The sequence below is a fragment of the Homo sapiens genome, chromosome 17 (genome assembly GCF_000001405.40).
Source record: "Homo sapiens chromosome 17, GRCh38.p14 Primary Assembly".
In the NCBI taxonomy this organism is placed as follows: Eukaryota; Metazoa; Chordata; class Mammalia; order Primates; family Hominidae; genus Homo; species Homo sapiens.
In genome coordinates, this window is record NC_000017.11 from 19,897,081 (window position 1) to 19,921,000 (window position 23,920).

General features: G+C 43.7%; 1 protein-coding gene across 3 annotated transcripts in view, besides 2 other annotated features; it reads right to left on the bottom strand.

Moving 5' to 3' along the window:
* Positions 952-1,453: an enhancer, noted in NCBI's record as "H3K4me1 hESC enhancer chr17:19801345-19801846 (GRCh37/hg19 assembly coordinates)". NCBI's record gives its function as "activates a minimal SCP1, AML or CMV promoter by ChIP-STARR-seq in primed H9 embryonic stem cells {active_cell/tissue: H9 hESC(primed)}" and the evidence as "EXISTENCE:reporter gene assay evidence [ECO:0000049][PMID:30033119]".
* Positions 1,454-1,953: an enhancer, noted in NCBI's record as "H3K4me1 hESC enhancer chr17:19801847-19802346 (GRCh37/hg19 assembly coordinates)". NCBI's record gives its function as "activates a minimal SCP1, AML or CMV promoter by ChIP-STARR-seq in primed H9 embryonic stem cells {active_cell/tissue: H9 hESC(primed)}" and the evidence as "EXISTENCE:reporter gene assay evidence [ECO:0000049][PMID:30033119]".
* Positions 7,222-23,920, bottom strand: part of AKAP10 (A-kinase anchoring protein 10) — a 73,527-nt gene continuing 56,828 nt past the window's right edge. For 2 of the 3 annotated variants that reach the window (NM_001330152.2, NM_007202.4), the window contains 4 exons: positions 22,956-23,038; positions 12,846-12,898; positions 12,101-12,196; positions 7,222-9,152 (listed from right to left, as the gene is read on the bottom strand). In NM_001330152.2, coding sequence (NP_001317081.1) covers positions 9,147-9,152; positions 12,101-12,196; positions 12,846-12,898; positions 22,956-23,038 — 238 coding nt within the window. In that variant the 3' untranslated portion in view covers positions 7,222-9,146. Of the gene's footprint in view, positions 9,153-12,100; positions 12,197-12,845; positions 12,899-22,955; positions 23,039-23,920 lie in introns of those variants that run through there. The other variant, XR_007065258.1, reaches the window with a different exon arrangement.

Here is a 23,920-nt window from a genome sequence, read left to right on the forward strand (position 1 = left end):
CAAAACTTCATTGTTTGAGGTTGCTGTGGGTAGTATGTTAGGAGAAACCAGAGGTAGAGCAGTTGCAGGAGATCACCAAGTTTGGTTACAGGTGCAATCGAGGAGTGAAACGCCAGTCTTGGGAACAGGCCAGATTGCCGGGCAGACTGCCATCATGGACAGTGATGTTCCTGGGGTGGGAATGAAGTGACGAAACCTGGGAGTGGTAGATGGAAGACTTGGAGAAACAGGCAGGAGCGGCTTGGAGCTGAGCAGATGGCAAAAGTGAAAGGGCAGTTTCAGATGGCAAGGCTGTGGAAGCAGCACTGGCTGGGAGTGGGTGCTACGGACAATGATGATGGGGTGTGGGGTAGGGAGTCAGGACTGGGAAGAAATGGTGTCTTGAGACTTGCAGAATGGGCAAGTCCTAGAGAAAGAGTGAGATGGTCACAAAGTCTGTAAACTGCAGGGTTGAGGGAGGGCACCTAAACTGCCCCCCGCAGGTCCCTTACTGTCTAGTAGCACTCATCCCATTGAGTGGTCATTGCTTGCTTTCTGGACTGCAAGGAGGGCAGGCAGTGTTTGTCTTGGATACTGCTGTATCCCCAGCAACTACAACAGGCATATAATAGGCCCTCAGGAAATACATACCTGATGAAGAAATAGAGAGATGAAGGAAGAAGGAAAGAAAAGACTAAGGTATGAGCATTCTCTGGGAGGGACTTGAAAAGGAGGTCAGCGAAGGAGAGACAGGCCAGGAAAGGCATGGTGGGGACCTCAGAGGGAACTGAGGACCTGAGGTGCAAACAGAAAGAAAATGAACCAGACAGGATTTGTGTGAGATTCCACTGGAACCTTGGGTATGATCCCAACAGCCGCAAGTCTCAGCCTGGACTGTCACGGGTACTGTTCCCAGCAAAGGGGCTGGGGAGTGGATGACTATGGGGCTGAAACTGGTCTGTGGCCTCTTCTAAGCCTCATCCCAGCAAGAGACTTGCTTTGATGGCCTCAGATCTGCCTAGGCAACCAGAGACTGAGAAACTACAGTGGTGTTTGGGTGTTCTCAGCTTTGATAAACATCTGAATAATAGTAAAGGATTTATGTGCTTGTTTGGGTGAGTCATAAATAATAGGTCTCAAATTACATTTCTGTATAGCATGGTCATTCCCAATAAAAGGGAATGAAAATATTCATTTCCCAACTCACAGGAAAGATTTTAAGGCAGGGATTCTTGAAAAGTATGGTCTCCAGAGCAGCAGCATCTGGGAATTTGTTAAGAATGCAAATTCCTGCCTGTAATCCCAGCACTTTGGGAGGCCGAGGTGGGTGGATCACGAGGTCAGGAGTTCAGACCAGCCTGGCCAAGATGGTGAAACCCCGTCTCTACTAAAAATACAAAAATTAGCCGGGCATGGTGGCGGGCGCCTGTAGTCCCAGCTACTCAGGACGCTGAGGCAGAGAACTGCTTGAACCCGGGAGACGGAGGTTGCAGTGAGCCGAGATCGTGCCACTGCACTCCAGCCTGGGGGACAGAATGAGACTCTGTCTCAGAGAAAAAACAAAAACAAAAACAAAGGCAAATTCTTGCACCACCCCAGACCTACTAAATTAGAAACTTTGGGGATTAGGCCCAATGATGCACATTTTCACAAGTCCTCCAGGGGATCCTGATGCATGTGAAAATTTAAGAACCACTGCTTTAAGGTAGATAGATGGGATGTTTTCCATTTTAAAGTGAATCCCTCTAATTTTTTTCTGAAGTTTTTGATATCTTCTATACTTGTCTGTGGTGAGTACCAATAAGCAGGAAAATGAGAGAAGAGAACATTTGCAGGATAGCACAGTTGTGAGTAAGAGGGCAGTTTCCCCTGGCTGAGACCCTGGTGAAATTCCTTTACCTCTTTTTTTTTTTTTTGAGATGGAGTCTTGCTCTGTCGCCAGGCTGGAGTGCAGTGGCGCGATCTCGGCTCTCTGCAACCTCTGCCTCCCAGGTTCAAATGATTCCCCTGCCTCAGCCTCCCAAGTAGCTGGGATTACAGGCTTGTGCCACCATGTCCAGCTAATTTTTTGTATTTTAGTAGAGATGGGGTTTCACCATGTTGGCCAGGATGGTCTCGATCTCCTGACCTCGTGATCTGCCTGTCTTGGCCTCCCAAAGTGCTGGGATTACAGGCATGAGCCACCACACCTGGCCTCCTTTACCTCTTAAGCTTGTCTTCTTTATAAGAAGGGAAAAAATGGCCAGGCATGGTGGCTCACACCTATAATCCCAGCACTTTGGGAGGCTGAGATGGGAAGAGTGCTTGAGGCCAGGAATTCAAGACTAGCCTGGGCAACATAGTGAGACCCTCTCTAAAAAAAAAAAAAAAACTTTGTTTAAAGAAGGGAGAAAATCAGTACTTACAAGATTATCACAAGGATCAAATGAGACGCTGCCTGGCACACACAGTGTTTACTCATTATGCTGATTATTATTACCACTGCAGAACTCAGGAGCTGATTACTTTATGGAATTAGCTCAACAGCTAGCTAGGATTTTCCAAGGTTATAATTTTATACTGCATGCATATAGTAACTGTACAATAGTCTTGTTTTTAAGAATTCACATGTCCCAAAGCTCTGCAGAGCCACGGAGCTGAGACTGACTTTACGGCCTCTTCTAAGCCTTACTCTAAGGTAAGCCCTGTTCAGAGACTTGCCTTGATGGTCTCAGGCATCAAGATGCTGACATCTTGTAAACCAGGTGCTCAACACCTGAGGAAAAACCTCCAGTCTTGCAGCAAGTGAATGGAGTGGCACAGCAACTGGTCCTTGCGGAAGGATGAGGCTGACAGGACACAGAAGGGGCACTTCTCTTCAGCTCCCCCTCTCGGCTGCAGCTCTCCCTATGGGTCTATAGCAGGAGAGCCTGATGTTTTCCAGTAGACCTTGGTGGGTACGAGACCTAAATCATGGGCTCCAAAGGCCATCTTGAATCAAAACTACCAGCATATTTTTTTTTTCTGAGACAGAGTCTCGCTCTGTCACCCAGGCTGGAGTGCAGTGGTGCCATCTCGGCTCACTGCAATCTTCGCCTCCTGGGTTCACACCATTCTCCTGCCTCAGCCTCCCAAGTAGCTGGGACTACAGGCGCCCGCCACCACACCTGGCTAATTTTTTTTTTTACTTTTAGTAGAGACGGGGTTTCACCATGTTAGCCAGGATGGTCTCGATCTCCTGACTTCATGATCTGCCCACCTTGGCCTCCAAAGTGCTGGGATTACAGGTGTGAGCCACTGCGCCTGGCCAATACCAGCATAGTTTAGCTGCTATCCCAACTTCCATTACCTCTTCAATAGAATGCAAGCTCCAAGGTGCCTGCAAGTTTTTATTCCTTCCTGTGTCCCTGTAAACAGTGCCTGCCACTTACAGGGTGACTGAATGGGTGAATATTTACTAAACCAATAGTTACATAATTAGAAGAAACAAAAGGTACTCTTTGCCAAGAAGAGAAGACTAAGAAAAACTTGAAAGAAGTGTGGGGCTTCCTTCAGCTGGAGCCTCTTTCCAAGTTGTATGGTGTGTGGAATTCTTACTGTGATGTGGGAGAGGCCAGCCTGGGGTCACTTACGGATGAGTCTGAAGGCACAGTCAATATACAGGAGTCAGCTGAAGCTGGGGAAATGGCACAGTTGTTGCAATCCTCGTCTCTCATTTGCTTCTTGGTAAATCCCAGCTCCTTTCAAGCTGAAACTAAGCCCTCTCTAGGCTCCTTGCCCACAGACTGGGCCAGTCTGACAGGTGCTTCAGTGGTATGAGGGGTGGGGTGGGGAAGGAGATGCACTGTCACCTTTAGGCAAGGGGCTGAATGCATCCAGGTGAGTTCTGTGACATTCTGAATGTGCCAGAGCAGGCAGTTTGAGAGGAACAGACTGAGGAAATACTTGTTTACATAAAGTTACTAAGGCAGGAATACCCACTCTCCTGTGTGCCAAGCAAGCCAGTGGGCAGCAACCCTCCCTGAACATGAATGCCCTCAGGGCCTTTACTCACACTGCTCCCTCCAGTGTCCTTTATTGGACATCACTGGCCATCTCCACCTGCCCAGAATCCACAGTATCACCGCTCCTACTCTGCACCACGCCCAGTCCTGCCCAAGCAGAGGGGCTTCCTCTAGTGCTCAATGTTCACCCGGAGAGGGCCTCAGTGGGTAACTATTAGTGTGGGCCACCAAAGTTGTAACCTTGAGGGGTTTTACAAGGCCAGAGACCTTGCCTAGTATATAGAATTGGCAGGTATTTACAAATTTTGTAAAAATTATCTCTCCCGCCAAACTTCTACCAGTACTCTAACCAAAAAGCTTTCTATTTCTGGGTTTATTACAATTGCTAAAAGCGGTTATAATCTTCATTATTCTTTGGAAGGATCTGAGAAGCATGAAAAGGCACTGGCCCAGGCCTGAGTTCTAATGGTGATCATCTCACAAGCCAGGGACTTCTCCCCTTCCTGGGCCTCAGTAACTGCTTGTTATAAAAACAAGGGGTGTCTTTTAGCTCCATTAGGTTAGGATACCATTTTGAGAGAATACACATGACGACTTAAGTGAAGTTTACTAAAGAAAAATTATTCTCCAGAAATCAGCAGTACTTTGCAGACATGCTGAGAATACATAATCATTAGGCATTAGGGCAGTATGGCAGTATTTTAGCCAAACTCCTTTCACGTAATTAAAAAAACTCACTTCAGACTGGTTTCAAAAAATCAAAAAACAGACCGGGTACCATGGCTTACGCCTGTAATCCCAGCACTTTGGGAGGCCGAGACAGGGTGATCACCTGAGGTTGGGAGTTCGAGACCAGCCTGACCAACATGGAGAAACCCCGTCTCTACTAAAAATACAAAATTAGCCAGGTGTGGTGGCGCATGCCTGTAATCCCAGTTACTCAGGAGGCTGAGGCAGCAGAATCACTTGAACCTGGGAGGTGGAGGTTGTGGTGAGCCGAGATCGTGCCATTGCACTCCAGCCTGGGCAACAAGAGCGAAACTCCATCTCAAAAAAAAAAAATCAAAAATCATTATAAGGATAACTGACAGATTAATGTAGTCCAATGCAAGGATGCAGGAATAGATGCAGAAACCAAGGATGTCTTCAGGGTTATCAAGGTACCTGCTATCTCAGGCCCACATGCTTCTGTTTGTCCATGCAGTGCTGGCTCCTGATTTTGTAAGTGCCACATCCAAGCACCATTCCAGATGGTGAACAGTATCTCTCCTTCCCCATGCAAAATTCTTTTTTTTTTTTTTTTGAGAAAGAGTCTTGCTCTGGAGTGCAGTGGCACGATCTTGGCTTACTGCAACCTCTGCCTCCCCGGTTCAAGCATTTCTCCCTGCCTCAGCCTCCCCAGGTGCCCGCCACCACACCTGGCTAATTTTTGTATTTTTTTTAGTAAGAGACAGGGTTTCGCCATATTGGCCGGACTGGTCTTGAACTCCTGACCTCAGGTAATCCGCCCACTTTGGTCTCCCAAAGTGCTGGGACTACAGGCATGTGCCACCGCACCCGGCCAAAATTCTTTTTTTTTTTGAGACGGAGTCTCACTCTGTCGCCCAGACTGTAGTGCAGTGGCACGATCTTGGCTTACTGCAAGCTCCGCCTCCTGGGTTCACATCCTTCCTCTGCCTCAGCCTCCCTAGTAGCTGGGACTACAGGTGCCCACCACCACACCCGGCTAATGTTTTGTATTTTTAGTAGAGACAGGGTTTCACCATGTTAGCCAGGACAATCTCGATCTCCTGACCTCGTGATCTGCCTGCCTTGGCCTCCCAAAGTGCTGGGATTACAGGCGTGAACCACTGCGCCTGGCCAAATTCTTTTTTTTTTGAGACAGAGTCTTGCTCTGTTGCCCAGGCTGGAGTGCAGAGATGTGATCTTGGCTCACTGCAATCTCTGCTTCCTGGGTTCAAGTGATTCTCCTGCCCCAGCCTCCCGAGGAGCTAGGATTATAGGTGCCCATCACCACATCTGGCTAACTTTTGTCTTTTTAGTAGAGATGGAGTTTCACCATGTTGTCCAGGCTGGTCTCGAACTCCTGTCCTCAAGTGATCTGCCCATCTTGGGCCTTCCAAAATGCTGTAATTACAGGCGTGAGCCACTGCACCTAGCCCAAAATTCTTTTTCTTATTTTTATTTTTGGAGACAGAGTCTCCCTCTGTCACCCAGGCTGGAATGCAGTGACACGGTCTCGGCTCATTGCACAACCTCCGCCTCCAGGTTCAAGCGATTCCCCTGTCTCAGCCACCCACGTAGCTGGGATTACAGGCGTGCGCCACCATGCCCAGCTAATTTTTGTATTTTTAGTAAAGACAGGGTTTCACCATGTTGGCCAGGCTGGCCTCGAACCCCTGACCTCAAGTGATCCGCCTGTCTCGGCCTCCCAAAGTGTTGCAATTACAGGCATGAGCCACCGTGCCCGGCCCCAAAATTCTTAACATTAAGAACTGTCTTGGGCCTGTCTGGATCAGGAGTTCAACCCAGGTCCAATCAACTGGTGTGTGGGCAAGAGGGAGGAGAGGGCGAGAGAAAAGGTCACTGTGTAGAAACATAAACCCCACTCCTGAAGTCAGGCAGGTACCCAAACACTGTCACTGGAGAGAGGTCAGTCACTTCATCAGGTGCTTAGCTCTCAGTACTTAAATAAAACAGCAAAGAAGTTTGTACTTTGTTACAATTCAGAATGACCTTCCCCTCCAAATTCCTACTGAACTAGTCAAACCTCCAGTACTGTAAACTACTTACATTTCGAAAAGCTCTACTGAATGTTGAAATCCAAGTAGAAAAAGTTATAAAAAGTTACTCCCTGTTTTATTGCTGTTCACTGGATTTGGCTGACATTTGCTTTTTACTTTCATCAAATCTTACCGAATGATGAAGACACATCAAGTTACAAAGGTACCACTTTCTCTCTAATATCTTTTCTTTTTAAACAATTTGTGTCAATGTCAACAACATGATAAAGATGAAGGGTGTTCAACTGATTATTTGAACCCATAAAAACTCCACCAGGGAATCTTATTTTGTGGGCACAATGCACAGAGCCTGGAACATGGTGGGTGCTCAATGTTGGAGGAATCAAATTCCAACTTTAAAATGAGTACAAGGACCTACTTTAGATCAAATATTAAATCTGGCTAATAATTTCGGGCCACACTCCGCTTCTGTGTCTCAAAGCAGGTGGGGCAGAAAAAAGTAGCCGAGTCTCAAATTTGCTGCTATTCTCTTTATAAGCAGTTTACAACTACTTGGCATCTCTAGCTCAGAAGCACAAAATGTATATACAAAGAAATGATTAGAATTTATCTTAACTGAAAGCACTAGTTTAAACAGCCTAGAGTCTTGTAGAAATTGTTATTCCAAAACATGCAGAGGCAGCAAGAGTTGCCCAAAACCACATTTTATTCTATAACCTTTATATTGCTTTTCTGTTAAAGATTGAAGCAATGTGAAGTGGATGGAAATATTTTGTTAAAAGAACAAAATGAATTAATCACAGCATAGATGACTAATAAAAACCTTGGGTTTATGCCATACACTTCAAACACAAGGCAAAGTCCAGTAGTGGCTCATGTTCTGGGTTTTTAGAAAGCAAATGAAAATATTTGGAAAGATCAATATATTTCAACAGAAGAGCCATAAATGCCCTGAAAGCAGAAAGTTGACACAATTTTAAATAGAATTCATATATATATATTTTAAAATCAAACACAATTAAATATAATATGGTTTAAGTACATGAATACTTCAGCTTTAAAAGAATAACAGAGGTGGTACATAGTACCAAAAACTTACACAAAGCCTTTTTGCTTCTTCTGTCGATGAAACAGTGTGCCTCTATACAATCAAATATTGCAATGGAATAAATTCTCTGTTCATTCAAGACTTTCTCAAGGACAAAAGTGATTAATAATTATATATTTATACATATATATATATATTTTTTTTTTTGCAAAGTCTGAGCAAAAGCAGTAACATCTAAGAGAACTTTCTTTCCTCTCAATCATGTGCATTGAGGAAGCGCTGGCGCCACGTGGTCAATGGAGTGTGCTCACCAACTGGGCAGTCCTGCTGATGGCTGTGTGATCCCGATGCAGAAGCCAACTGAGCAGAAGTGCAGTGAGTGAGTCTCTTACTATCCTAAAGAAAGGAGAAGAAAGACGACCAACTGCACACTTTCCAGCTCACAGCAAAGAATGGGGGAGGCAGTCAAAGTCAAATGTTTCTCTCTCCCCAGTCATCCTGCTCACCTTATTTAAAAAAAAAAAAAGTATAATTTGGGAAGAACTGCTTTGTTCAAGGTGCCACAGGGGCAAAAGTGGAGTCATCGCTATTTCTTTCTTTCTTTCCACATGTATTCTGAAGGGAAAGTTAAGTAACTGGAGTGCAGAATTCCAAAGGGGCAAATCCTAATGCTCAAAGTAAACCAGATTCACACCCTTCTGTTAGCAGGGGAGAGAATGGTTTTAAGTATAGTGCATCTCAGGAGGAGGAATTAAAATGTGAAAACTATATACTGCCATCAGAGGAAGGAGGAAGTCACTGAAACTTGACCCATGACTTGTCAGTTTCCTTCCAAATTAATGCCGCTGTCAAGAAGACTGCATAATTAACTCTCACCCTGTTCCGCTGAAGCTGCTAGCACCACGCTGCCACTCAAAGCTGCCTGGCTCTCGGTGGGGCTGACTCACCTGCTTTGGAAGGACAAAGCAAACCACCTCTGGCACCTGCTTTACAATGCTGATTAGGGATGAGTTACCACTACGAGTGTGCATCAAGTATCAGTTCTATGCTTATCTGCTTCCCAGAGGATGTGGTCCCTGTCTATTCCAGTAGGCTAAAACACTCTCATAAATGGGTTATTGCCATTGGAAAACTAATAATTTTCTAGTAATGTAAACAATACCATTTTGTATCTTTAAGACTCTCACTGTGTGAACATCATGTGCATCAATTATGCCTACAGGTAACTGCATTATGGTGGAAGTCTAGGATTGTCTCCCATTCTCTCCTGGAAACAACAGTGACAGATCAGAAATATAGTGCTGTTTTCATTGGCTGTGTTGAAGAATCCAACCAAGGGAAAAAAGTTCTCTTATTTTTCACAAGCAGATTTCCTTTATCTCAAGTTTTGAGTCATAACTGAAAAAAGAAAAGAAAAGAAAATGGTAAGGTGCATTTCTCTAACAAGTGACCTATTATTACAAATTAAGGATGGACACCAACACTTAGTGTTTACTATATACCAGAGTTTAAGACAGCCAGAAGCTGACTACAATTTTGTGAGGTAAAATATTGTAATTTTCCTTGTTAAAATATGAGTGAACAGAAGCTTAAAGAGGTTACGTAACTTACCCAAGGGGCATATAACAAGGACTGGCATCCAGACTTGCTTTCCCATGTTGGCAATAGATATTAGAATGAAAAATATTGCCAATTTTCAATAGAGTAATTCTACTTCTAGGAATTAACCCTAGAGCATATTCAAGAGGGATGGTAAAGACACACATGCAGACATTCACTGACTCCCTCCTGTAGTCACAGCACTGCGGACAAATATCACGGAAGACAAGGTCCCCGGTATTGTGGCATGGGACATGTGCACATGAAGCAATTCAGTAATGGTGTGAGGTAGTTTATGCTGAATGTCCAAGTACATCCTATAGGCAAATGTCGAGTTGGAGGTTGAAGCAGAGAGGTATCAACACAGGATAAAGAGAATGAGTATTCCTTCGCAGGCCTAGGACTTCATGCATTCATAAAATCATGGAATGAGGATTAGAAGGGGTTTTTCTTTTGGGGTTTTGGTGTCGAATTTCTCTGATCTACTAATGAGGACATGAGGAACTAAAGTAGTCACCTGCAAAAGGTCACACTTACTGCCTAAAGTAAAGAAAAACTCAGCTAGTTCTTCGAGTCTACTGTTTTTTTTTGTTTTTTTTTTGAGACGGAGTTTCACTCTTGTGGCCCAAGCTGGAGTGCACTGGTGCAATCTCAGCTCACCGCAACCTCTGCCTCCCGGGTTCAAGCAATTCTCCTGCCTCAGCCTCCCAAGTAGCTGGGATTACAGGCAATGCGCCACCACGCCCAGCTAATTTTGTATTTTTAGTAGAGATGAGGTTTCTCCATGTTGGTCAGGCTGGCCTTGAACTACCGATCTCAGGTGATCTGCCTGCCTCAGCCCCCACAAAGTGCTGGGATTATAGACGTGAGCTACCACGCCCGGCCCCCATTTCTGGTATTTTTTATTTTAAGAAATTCCATTTGGTTCTTTTAAAACTATTTTGCATTTTTCTCATTATACTCTTGTTTTCTTTAACTTTTTTTTTTTTTTTTTTGAGACAGAGTCTCACTCTGTTGTCCAGGCTGGAGTACAAGTGGCACAATCTCGGCTTACTGCAACCTCAACCTCCACCTCCCGGGTTCAAGTGATTCTTGTGCCTCAGCCTCCCATATAGCTGGGACTATAGGCACCTGCCACCATGCCCAGCTAATTTTTTTGTATTTTTAGTAGAGAAGGGGTTTCACCATATTGGCCAAGCTGGTCTTGAACTCCTACCCACCTTGGCCTCCCAAAGTGCTGGGATTACAGGCATGAGCCACTGCACCTGGCCACTTGAACATATTTTTAATATTTAAAATAGCCACTTGATGGTCTTTGTCTGCTAAATTCATCATCTTTCTCACATCTGGGTCTGTTTCTATAGATTGAGTTTTCTCCTGGTTATAGGTCAACTTCATGTCATGCTTGGTAATTTGTGATTGACGTCAGACATTCTTTTTTTTTTTTGAGCCTGAGTTTTGCTCTTTTTGCCCAGACCAGAGTGCAGTGGTGCGATCTCGGCTCACTGCAACCTTCACCTCCTGGGTTCAGGCAATTCTCCTGCCTCAGCCTCCCAAGTAGCCGGGATCACAGGTGCCGGCCACCATGCCTGGCTAAGTTTTTGTATTTTTAATAGAGACGGGGTTGCACCATGTTAGCCAGGCTGGTCTTGAACTCCTGACCTCAGGTCATCTACCTGCCTCGGCCTCCCAAAGTGCTGGGATTACAGGCATGAGCCACTGCGCCCAGCCTGGACGTCAGACATTCTAACTTTACACTGTGAAGTGCTGAATTTTGTTGTGTTACTGTAAAGAGGGTTAGGCCTTTGTTTTGGCATGCAGTTGTTAGGTAATTTGACCCTTTAAAAATTTGCTTTGAAACTTGGTTCAGGTGCTTGTACTCTAGGACTAATTTATCTTCAGTAGTAAGGCATAACCTCTGTGAAGACACTACCCAATGCCTTGTGTATTACTAAGTCTCTCTACTCTGGCCAGATCCTTCTGGCCATGAACTTTTCTTAGCCCTATGTTCCAGCAATCATTCAGCCTACTAATTTCTGGGGGGTTCTCTACCTGGACACATGCGTTTTCACCCCACACATATACAGATCACTCCTAGGCCAAGGATCCATGGGAATCTCTCTAAATATCTCTACGGCTTTCTTTCTGGGCAGCTTCCTCTTTTCTGCTACCTTATCCTACAACTTCTACTCAAATTGAGCTCTCTGAACTTTGATTTTTTTTTTGAAATGGGGTTTCGCTCGTCGCCCAGGCTGGAGTGCAGTGGTGTGATCTCGGCTCACTGCAACCTCCGCCTCCCTGGTTCAAGCGATTCTCCTGCCTCAGCCTCCCAAATAGTTGGGATTACAGGTGCCTGCCACCACACCCGGCTAAGACAGGGTTTCACCATGTTGGCCAGGCTGGTCTTGAACTCCTGACCTCAAGTGATTCACCCGCCTTGGCCTCCCAAAGTGCTGGGATTACAGGCGTGAGCCACTGCACCTGGCCTGAACTTTGATATTTAACTCTTTCGTTCAGCAAGACTACTGGGCTCTGTTTGGTTTCCATGGTTTCCCTGTATTGCCCATTGTCCAATATATGCAAACAGTTGTTTCATTTAGTTTGTCAATTTTCTAGTTGCTTATGATAAGAAGGTAATCCCCACAGCAGTTAATCCTTCAAAGGCAAAGAAACCCCTTATGTTCTTTTTTATTTTTACACCTGGAAAATAATACTTTTTAGTTTACACAAAACGAAGTCATCCTTACCTTTGTAGATTTCTCTAACGGTTGATCATACTGAGCCTGCTGCATAATGTCACTGACTATCATTTTAGCAATCTTCCAAGCTAGCTCTTCCTGGGCCTAAAGAAAATAATTTAAACTGGTGATAATGGTTATTCATTAGATGGATCGAGATGCACATACTCAGTGCTCTTAACAAATGGCTTACGCACATAATTTCTACTTATTTGGATAAGAATTTCATTCCCATGTACGAAAAAACCTGGGCCACCCTCTGGCTATGAATATTAACATGTCATTCCCTGTCTTCCAGTGTCAACTACTGGATACCTAACACCGAACTACTTTCATATTAGATGGTCAAAATAAAACATTTTCCTTTTTTCACCTCCCATCTCTCAATGTACTTAATTAACTATTAAAAAAGCAAGCCTCCACTACTTGAAGTAAAACTGCCAGTGGGGAAGGAAACATTTGAGCTTTTGATCTACACACTGATTACTGATGCCTGCTGGCTGATGGAAACTTGAATGCATGTATATCCTTCAGTGGTCCTAGCCTCTGACTGAAGATACCTTCACTGCTACTACCAGGCAATTGTTAGATGTTAAGAAGGGACCACCCTTTCTTGGTACATTCTGGGTAAGAGAACATAAATGTGCCATGCTGCTTAAACATGGGACCTAAAGAAAAGGAAAATTTTAAACCTCACTTACATGAGGGTGGCACTTATAAACAGAAATCTTTTTATCCTAAAGGTAGGATTTACCTCATCAGTATTTCCTTGCACCCATTTCTTCATAGCTTGTGAGAACATGGATCCTAGTAAACAAAGACAAAATTGAATGTACATTTCATGCATAATTTTACATTAAAAATGCTCTTATTTGGCTGGCCATGGTGGTTCATGCCTGTAATTCCAGCACTTTGGGAGGCCGAGGTGGGTGATTCACCTGAGGTTAAGAGTTCAAGACCAGCCTGGCCAACATGGTGAAACCTGTCTCTACTAAAATAATAAAAATCAGCCAGGCATGGTAGCAGGTGCCTATAATCCCAGCTACTCAGGAGGCTGAGGCAGAAGAATTGCTTGAACCTGGGAGCAGAGGTTGAAGCGAGCTGAGATCGTGCCACTGCACTCCAACCTGGGCAACAGAGCGAGACTCCAACTCAAAAAAAAAAAAAAAAACCACTATCACCACCACCACCACAATGCTCTTATTTAAAAGCTGTTGCTTCCAGATATGGATATTCTTTTTTGTGTGATACCCCAAAACACTAAGGAATGTTACATTAATAAAAACTGATTATATTGCTTACATAACAGAGCATTTAACTTGCAAACATCATGGCTTGAAAAACTTTTGAAAAGGTGTTTCAGAGTTCTGGACTTTTCTTCTACTCTCCTCACTTGATGAAAGAACTAACATCTAGTGTTAGTTTGTGGCAAACATTAAAAAACAAAACAAAACCAAACCAAACCCTAACCAGGATAATGCTCTTGGGTAAGAATCTAGCAATACATTGGGAGACACCAACACATTTGTTATGTTTTCAAACCTTCCAGACCAGCTCCTATATAAAAGGGCTTCTAAGACAGAGTATGCTGCTACATTCTAGTTCTCTAGTCTATATAAACTAGCTGGGTGAGAGAAGAGTTTCAAAGAGCTCTACTCTATCCAAGCCAGAGTACGCCTTAACTCCCTAGGATGTATAAGCCCACATCTGTAATCACATGCTGAGAATCATCCGAAGTAGGCCAGCCTCTATTTCTATGAATGAAATACACAGCTTACTTTTTTATTTAATAATTTGAACATGCTCACTTCCTAACTTTGCTTTAAAACAAGTTAATTGTTGGTAGATTATTTCTTGAGGCAAGGTCCTGTTTAATTCAATAACTGAATTCATAAAAAATACAAAACCTGGATCCTTTTCCCTCAATTTTTATTATTACCTAAGGGTTTAAATATTGGTTTAATGAAATTTTACTGCCAACCAGAGTCTACAGAGTCACAGTGTTAAATGCTCTGCATGAAGGCTCAACTGGCTGTTGAATCACCCCATGCACTGTTCTCTCGTCAGGCCCCCCTGCAGAGTCACTCTATTGACATGTTAGAAAACCCATGTTAAAAAAACTCAATCTACCTTCCCAATTTACACATGAAATCTGCCACCAAATTTCACCTTAGAATTCAACCTTGGACATATCATAAATCCGACCTTCCCTCTAATTCTTGCTACCACTACCTAACTTTGAATCTTTTTCTTCTCCTATCAACATTACCAGCTAATTCCACTGGCTGACTGGTGTCCCTCATGCCAGTCTCTCCCACCTCCAATTCATTCTCATTCTACTGACAGGGAAAAGCATCTGGTTAGAACTCTGTTTAGAAATCTCTGGGCTGGGCGCGGTGGCTCACGCCTGTAATTTCAGAACTTTGGGTGGCTGAGGCGGGAGGATCACCTGAGGTCAGGAGTTCGAGACCAGCCACAACATGGAGAAACCCCGTCTCTACTAAAAATACAAAATTAGCCAGGCGTGGTGGTGCATGGCTGTAATCCCAGCTACTCGGGAGGCTGAGGCAGGAGAATTGCTTGAACCTGGGAGGTGGAGGTTGTGGTGAGCCGAGATCACGCCATTGCACTCCAGCCTCGGCAACAAGAGCAAAACTCTGTCACAAAAAAAAAAAAAAAAAAAAAAAAAAAAAAAAAAGAAATCTCTGATGTCTACATGATGGGAGTCAGTCTAAGCTCCTTAAAATGACATGTAAGGGATTTATCAATTTAAGTACAGTTTTGTCTCCCACCAATGTATCGAAGCACAAGGGATTGCCACTACATTGGGCACGTGCTCATAACATCATTTTACAATTCCTTCTTGTTACACTGTCTCTTAGATGATTTTAATGTAACTTCTTAAGTTATCTTGCTTGCCCTTCTCATAATCTCAGAAGGCTCTTTTCAAAACTCAATCTTGGCTGGGCACGGTGGCTCACGCCTGTAATCCCAGCACTTTGGGAGGCTGGGGCGGGCAAATCACTTGAGGTCAGAAGTTTGAGACCAGTCTAACCAACATGGTGAAACCCCGTCTCTACTAAAAATACAAAAATAGGCGTGTGCCAATAATCCCAGCACTTTGGGAAACTGAGACGAGTAGATCACCTGAGATCAGGAGTTCGAGACCAGCCTGGTCAACATAGTGAAACCCCATCTCTACTAAACATACAAAAATGAACTAGGGATGGTGGCACGTACCTGTAGTCCCAGCTACTGGGGAGGCTGAGGCAGAAGAATTGCTTGAACCCAGGAGACAGAGGTTTGAGTGAGCCAACATCGCACCACTGCACTCCAGCCTGGGTGACAGAGCAAGACTCCATCTCAGAAAAAAACAAAACGAAACAAAAACAGAAAATTAGCTGGGCGTGGTGACACGTGCCTGTAATCTCAGCTACTCGAGAGGCTGAGGCAGAATTGCTTGAACCTGGGAGGCAGAGGTTGCAACCAGCTGAGATGGTGTCACTGCACTCCAGCCTGGGCCATAGAGCAAGACTGTCTCAAAAAAAGAAAACTCAGTCTTTTCCTCTGTGCTCTATTATCAAGGTTTCAAAACTCAAATTAAAGCTATAGGCTAGTAAATGATGAAAATTCTTTCCAGCTGCCCTCAATAAGGAAGGAGAGAAAGGCAGAGGAAGGGGAGCCGAACTGTAAACAAACCATTGTCAAGGTGGTATTCTGAACCAAAGCCCTGTAGTTGCTACTAACCTGCTGTGTGATTCCTAACAAATCACAGACCACAATCTCCACATTCCTCAATTTCTTTCTTTCTTTTTTTTTTTTTTAAGACAGAGTCTCACTCTGTTGCCCAGGCTGGAATGTAGTGGTGCATTATCAGCCCGCTGCAAACTCCACCTCCTGGGTTTAAGTGATTCTCCTCCCTCAGCCTCCCTAGTAGCTGGGATTACAGGTACTCGTACCCGCCACCACGCCTGGCTAATTGTTTTTTTTTTTTTTTTTTGAGACAGAGTCTCCCTCTGTTGACCAGGCTGGAGTTCAGCGGTGCAATCTCAGCTCATTGCAACCTCCGCCTCCCGGGTTCAAGGGATTCACCTGCCTCAGCCTCCCGATAGCTGGGACTACAAGCGCGTGCCACCATGCCTGGCTAATTTTTTGTATTTTTAGTAGAGATGGGGTTTCACTGTGTTAGCCAGGATGGTCTCGAACTCCTGACCTCGTGATCTGCCTGCCTTGGCCTCCCAACGTGCTGGGATTATAGGCGTGAGCCACCACGCCCGGCCCTAATTGTTGTATTTTTAATAGAGGCAAGGCTTTACCATGTTGGCCAGGCTGGTCTTAACTCTTGTCCTCAGTGATCCGCTCGCCTTGGCCTCCCAAACTGCTGAGATTACAGGTGAGAGCCACTGTGCCCAGACTTCAATTTCTACATTTGTAGAATGAGGATATGATATACACAGATACATCATCTAAGAATTGCATTAGCTTGAAAGTGCTAAGAAATATCAATTATTTGGGGATTGAGAAGAGAATGGCCTCTGTGAGTATCCTCGGAAGTAATCTGGCTAAGAAAACTTAGTGTCTATGTCAGTGTGGCAAAGGGCAACCAAGTTTAAAAAATGATTTTTTCTTACATAAATATAATCCGTAATCTTACCACTCAGATAATCCCAAATGAAATTCTTAAGTATTAAATAATTCAGTCAATAAATATTTAAGGAGTACTTACCATGTGCTAGGCATAATTTCAGAATCAGGAAATATAGTGCCAAATAGTATAGACAAACTCCCTGCCCACATAGAGGTAATATTCTAGTCATGAAAGAGAAACTATTTTTATTTACTTTTTAGACACATGGTCTCACTCTGTCACTAGGCTAGAGTGCAGTGGCACAATCATGGCTCACCGTCGCCTCAACCTCCTGGGCCCAAGCGATTCTCCCACCTCTGCCTCCCAAGTAGCTGGGACCACAGGCATGTGCCACCATGCCCAGCTAATTTTTAAACAATTTTTTATAGACAGGGTCTCACTTTGTTGCCCAGGCTGGTCTTGAAGTCCTGGGCTCAACCAATTCTCCAACCCAGCCTCCCAAAGTATTGAGATTACAGGTGTGAGGCACCATGTCCAGCTGAGAAATAAGCTATAAACAAGTATGTAAATAAATGAACAAGATAATTTTAGACAGTGAATAAGAAAATAGGCCAGGAGTAGTGGCTCACTCCTATAATCCCAATACTTTGGGAGGCTGAGAGATGTGGATTGCTTGCGGCAGGAGCTTGAGACCAGCCTTGGTGAAACCCTGTCTCTACAAAAAGTAAAATAATAAGCCAAGTATGGTGGTGTGTGCCTGCAGTTCCAGCTACTCGAGAGGCTGAGGTGAGAGGATCATTTGAGCCCAAGAAGATGAGGCTGCAGTGAGTCGTGATTCCAGCCTGGGCAACAGAGCAAGACCCTATCTCAAAAAAAAAAAAAAAAAAAAAAGATAAAAGGAAAAGAAAAGAAAGAAGTGGTAGTGAGTGGTATATACAAAGGATTTTAGATCATCGGAGTTGGGAAGGTCCCTCTCTGAAGAGATAATATTGAGATGAGAAGGAGGAACCATCCTTGCATGAAAGCCATGGCAGGGCTTGCCACAGCCATGAAATAGCAACTGCAGAGGCACTCAAAGTGAAGAAACTTCAGCAAAAGAATAAAAGATAGTCCAATGAGAGCTCAGTCCATGAAAGGAGTGGTTCAAAGTAAGGTGATAGAGGCCAGCAAGGGACATCCACAGGTAACAGCAAAGAGGCTAGATTTCATTCCAAATGCAACAGAAAGCCACAGGGGAAGAGATGAGGTGGATGATTAAGCAATAACGTATGCATAGGGCAAGAAAGTTCAAAAAGCAGAGGAAAAGGTATATTGAAAAGTAAAAGGCACCTCTTTCTTCTCATCTCTAATGTAATCACTGTTAAATTTTATGTGTATCCATTCAGGCAACATTTTAATGTACAGACCAATATACAGAGAGGCTTTCAAAAACACCATATACAACACATGATGTGTTCTAATCTAAAATGTGTAACACGAATCATCAAGACTATAGGTGTAACTTCCAGTTTACAAGAAATGTCAAGGAAAGAGAAATAAGCTAAATAACACAACCAGGAAAGTACAGAAGATTAAACATTCTGTAGGATAACTGATATGCTTAACAAGTCAGGGTCATTAAAAAGGAACCAAGCTGGAGTAAAACAGACTGAGACTACGCCCTCTTATTTACATCCTTGGCATTCAGCATAGTGCCTGGCACATAGTAATCACTCAAATGCCTTTTGGGTGAATAAATTCAATCTCTAGGCTCCTACACCACCAAAAAATACTTGACTTAAAGAGACATCTGGACAACTAAAAGAAGAACCAGGATATACAGGGGTGTTTAACCAAACTGCAGAAATTCCTATTTATTAGTTTATGTGGGCATGTCTCAATTAAATTAATAATACAAGTAACTTCATAGATGGGCTTGCTGGTAGAAATATAATCTTTTTGCCTCTACCTTCAAATACAACCCGAACTGGACTGGTCTTCCACTACCAGCCTAATCCACACCACCATCATCCCTTACTTAGACTATGACTATGGCAAGAATGTTGTTTCTCTGCTTCTCTTCTTGAAGCCCTACACTAAATTTTCCAAATAGCTGATAGAGCAATCCCTTAAAAACACTAAACATAAAACAAAAACAAAACATAAATCCCATCATTTCCCTGCTCCAACTTCCAATGTGTCCCTGACACTTTCAAGTCCTTGCCATGGTCTCTGGTGACCTCCCAACTCACTCACCTTCTACTGCTCATTCCTTTGCTCACTCCATTCCAGCCACACGGGGCTTGCTGTTCCTTGATCATGCTGAGCTCTCTAGCTTCGGGCCTCTATCCTTGTTCCTTTCACCAAGAACACTCTTCCTCCACATGCTGCCTGGGCTTACGCCCCCGCTGCGCTCAGGTCTACTCAAAATGCCACCTCCTCAGTGAGGCCTTTCCTGACAACCACCTCGAAAATAGCACTCCCTACTACTCTCTCCCAGCCCCCTACCCTGCTTTTCATGTAACACATGTACACAGGCTACATTTGTTTGTCTGTTACTGTCTCCGCCAATATAATGTAAGTTCCATGAAAGCAGGAACTTTGTTTTCTTCCCCAGGACCCAGAACAATAGATGCATACAGTAGGCACTCCACTGTTCTATAAAATGAATGAATGAAGGAATAACATAAACAGACTGAATGAATAGAACGAGCAGAGATAGTGGTTTGGGAAAAAATTTCCTATATATCTTCAACTGCTCATAATACACCTTAATTCATATAAAACAAACAGAAACTGCAAACACCGAACACCTATGCTATGTTAACACTATGCTAACACATATACATATGAAGCAGGAGCACTTCTTCATGAGCTGTCAGAGGTATGAGACCAGATTAAAAAAAAAAAAAAATCAGGCCAGGCACGGTGGCTCACACCTGTAATCCCAGCACTTTGGGAGGCCGAGGTGGGCGGATCACGACATCAGGAGATCGAGACCATCCTGGCTAATGCGGTGAAACCCCGTCTCTTCTAAAAATACAAAAAATTAGCCGGGCGTGGTGGCGAGCGCCTGTGGTCCCTGCTACTCAGGAGGCTGAGGCAGGAGAATGGCTTGAACCTGGCAGGCAGAGCTTGCAGTGAGCCGACATCGTGCCACTACACTCCAGCCCGGGCGACAGAGCGAGAGTCTGTCTCAAAAAATAAATAAATAAATAAATAAATAACAACAACAAAAAAACCAGGCCAGGCACGGTGGCTCACGCCTGTAACTCCAGCACTTTGCAAGGCAGAGGCGAGCGGATCACGAGGTCAGGAGATCGAGACCATCCTGGCTGACATGGTGAAACCCCATCTCTACTAAAAATAACAAAAAATTAGCTGGGCGTGGTGGTGGACACCTGTAGTCCCAGCTACTTGGGAGGCTGAGGCAGGAGAATGGTGTGAACCTGGGAGGCAGAGCTTGCAGTGAGCCAAGATCGCGCCACAGCACTCCAGCCTGGCCGACAGAGAGAGACTCCATCTCAGGAAAAAAAAACAAAACAAACAAACAAAAAAAAACAGCTCAGAGATTTTCTATTAATACTGGGGAGGAGACCCCATTATCCTTATGGACAGAAGCTACCTAAAGACACTGTAGAGTTCTTCCTGGCCAATGCCTCACAAAGGTCATCTGGCACTTCCTCTGTTCTAAAACCACCACTGACCTCTTCCCAGTATTCCTTAAAAAAATTGTGTTTTGTTTTTTAGAGACATGGTCTTGCTCCATTACCTAGGTGGAAGTGCAATGGCGTGATCACAATTCACTGCAGCCGCAGCCTCACCCTCCTGGGCTCCAACACTCCTTCCATCTCAGTCTCACAAAGTGCTCAGATTACAGGTATGAACCACCATGCAGCCCCCAATATTGTTCTTTTACCCAATACAAGCTCACGCCTGTAAGCCCAGTACTTTGGGAGGCCAAGGTGGGCGGATCACTTGAGGCCAGCATGGTCAACATAGCAAAACCCCATCTCTACTAAAAATAACAAAAAATTAGCCAGGCGTGGTGGCAGGTGCCTATAATCCCAGCTACTTGGGAGGCTGAGGCAGAATAATTGCTAGAACCTGGGGGGCAGAGGTTGCAGTGAGCCAAGCCTGGCGACAGAGCTAGACTCTGTCCCCCTCCCACCCGACAAAAAAAAAGAAAGAAAATAAGATGGCTGGGCACAGTGGCTCACACTTGTAATCTCAGCACTTTGGGAGGCCGAGGTGGGCAGATTACGAGGTCAGGAGTTCCGAGACCAGCCTGGCCAACATGGTGAAACCCTGTCTCTACTAAAAATACAAAAATTAGCTAGATGTGGTGGCACGCGCCTGTAATCCCAGCTACTTGGAAGACTGAGGCAGGAGAATTGCTTGAACCCAGGAGGCAGAGGTTGCAGTGAGCTGAGATCGCACCATTGCACTCCAGCTCTGGGCGACACAGCAAGACTCCGTCTCAAACAAAAAAAAAAAAAAAAAAGAAAATAAGATAAATGGCCAGACATGGTGAATCATGCCTGTAATCCCAGCACTTTGGGAGGCTAAGGCGGGCAGATCACCTGAGGTCAGGAGTTTGAGACCAGACCAGCCTGGCCAATGTAGTGAAACCCTGTCTCTACTAAAAATGCAAAAATTAGCCATGGCGCCTGTAATCCCAGCTACTCAGGAGCCTGAGGCAGTAGGATCGCTTAAACCCGGAGGCGGGTGCACAGGCATGTGCCACCACGCCTGGCTAATTTAGTAGAGACAGGGTTTCACCATGTTGGCCAGGATGGTCTCAATCTCTTGACCTCGTGACCCACCTGCTCCAGCTTCCCAAAGTGCTAGGATTACAGGCATGAGCCACAGCGCCTGGCCAATAGCTCTTAATCTTAAACATACTTATCAAAATTGAATTTTTCTTCTTACAAAAATTAGTATCTTTTACTCAATAAAATACTGTCAATTCAACCAAACTAAAAACTTCTAGATACCATCTGTCACGGATCCACATTTGTTTCTGAAATCTTCCTGTGTAAACCAGGAAGAAAATGAAATCAGTCACAAAGAATGCACTTGACAAAAAAGATTTCTGTTGTCTAACCCTTGGATTTGACTAAACTACTCTTCTGATTAAATGAACAATTTGAATTTTGACCTATTAATATTTTCCACATATATTTATTTTTTTTAAATTTATTATACTTTAAGTTCTAGGGTACATGTGCACAACGTGCAGCTTTGTTACATATGTATACATGTACCATGTTGGTGTGCTGCACCCATTAACTCGTCATTTATATTAGGTATATCTCCTAATGCTATTCCTCCCCCAGCCCCCCACCCCACGACAGGCCCCAGCGTGTGATGTTCCCCACCCTGTGTCCAAGTGTTCTCATTGTTCAATTCCCACCTATGAGTGAGAGCATGCGGTGTTTGGTTTTCTATCCTTGAGACAGTTTGCTCAGAATGATGGTTTCCAGCTTCATCCATGTCCCTACAAAGGACATGAACTCATCCTTTTTTATGGCTGCATAGTATCCATGGTGTATATGTGCCACATTTTCTTAATCCAGTCTATTTTCCACATATATTTCATTACTTTTATATTTCATTACTTTCATCAATCTTGAGGAAATTTAATAAAAATAATTTAATAAGGCCAGGCATGGTGGCTCACACTTGTAATCCCAGCACTTTGGGAAGCCAAGGCGGATGGATTGCTTGAGGTCAGGAGTATGAGACCAGCCTAGCCAACGTGGTGAAACCTCATCTCTGCTAAAAATACAAAAATTAGCCAGGTGTGGTGGTGCGCACTTGTAGTCCCAGCTACTCAGGAGGATGAGGCAGGAAAATCGCTTGAACCTAGGAAGCAGAGGTTGCAGTGAGGTGCGGTCAGACCACTGCACTCCGGTCTGGGTGACAGAGCAAGAACTGTCTCAAAAAAAAAAAAGAAAAGAGAAAAAATATAATTTAATAAAATAAACGGTCTCAAACATTAAGTCCAACTTAGGTCGGGTATTTTGCCATTAAATAAGAAAATAGACAATGCTTTTTCATATTCATGTGCCTTCTGGAGTGGCAAAGCAAGTTCACTAACTTTTGATTCAGAGGAGATTGCATAAAGATGTGACTACAGGAAGCCCTTGTACTTACTTCTGACTATAAACACAAGGTGAAAGATACAGTGGTTACTTTACAAAATAAACAGTTTAAACCTTAAGTGGTCTTTGACTTACAGTCAATCACTAATGTGAGTAAAGGCTTAATATGAAGTATAAAAACACCACAAACCTTTTGATTTCCTTACATCAGGTTCAGGCTCAGATTCTCGGATGAATTGCCCCAAGTCACTGACTCTTCCAAATGTCATCTTCCTAAATAAGAATGAACAGAAGACTTTAACTTCTAACAATCAGTTTTAAATTTAGGAGAAAACAATCAATTTAAAGCGTTTCATCTAAATCTAGAAAGCCAGAAACACAATTTATAGCTATCCTAAGTAATTTAAAGTAGGGATTATTTGAAATAAAACATTGCTGCACAGAAAGCAAGATAATCTTTAATTGAGTGCAATTCCATTCAAAATCCTCAGTTTACAAAACATGGTGAGTCAACAGGTAATTCACAATTCTAAAATTCACAAATAAGAAAAAAGGCACAAGAATAGCCAAGACAATTTTGTAAAAGAAGCACCCAAAAGGTAGGCCTTGCTCTAACAATGACTGAAACATATTATAAAGCCATAGTTGTGTGTATACATACATCTGTTTATACTAAAACTATAGTACTATAAAACAAAGTTAAAAAGCAAAAAGTGGCTAGGCACTGTGGCTCATGCCTGTAATCCCAGTACTTTGGGATGCCGAGGCAGGCGGATCACTTGAGGCCAGTAGTTTGAGACCAGCCTGGCCAACATGGTGAAACCCTGTCTCTACTAAAAATACAAAAATTAGCTGGGTGTGGTGGTGGATGCCTGTAATCCCAGCTACTTGGGAGGCTAAGGCAGGAGAATTGCTTGAAACAGGGAGGTAGAGGTTGCAGTTGCAGTGAGCTGAGAGCCGAGATCATACCATTGCACTCCAGCCTGGGCAACAGAGCAAGACTCTATCTCAAAAAAAAAAAAAAAAAAAAAAAAAAAAAAGCAAAAAATACAGTAAGGGTCTTATTTTTAAGGTATTACCAACCAATGATTAGTATCGAGAAACATAGAGAATCTTTTTTTTTTTTTGAATAATGAAGTGTCATGCTGAAAAAAT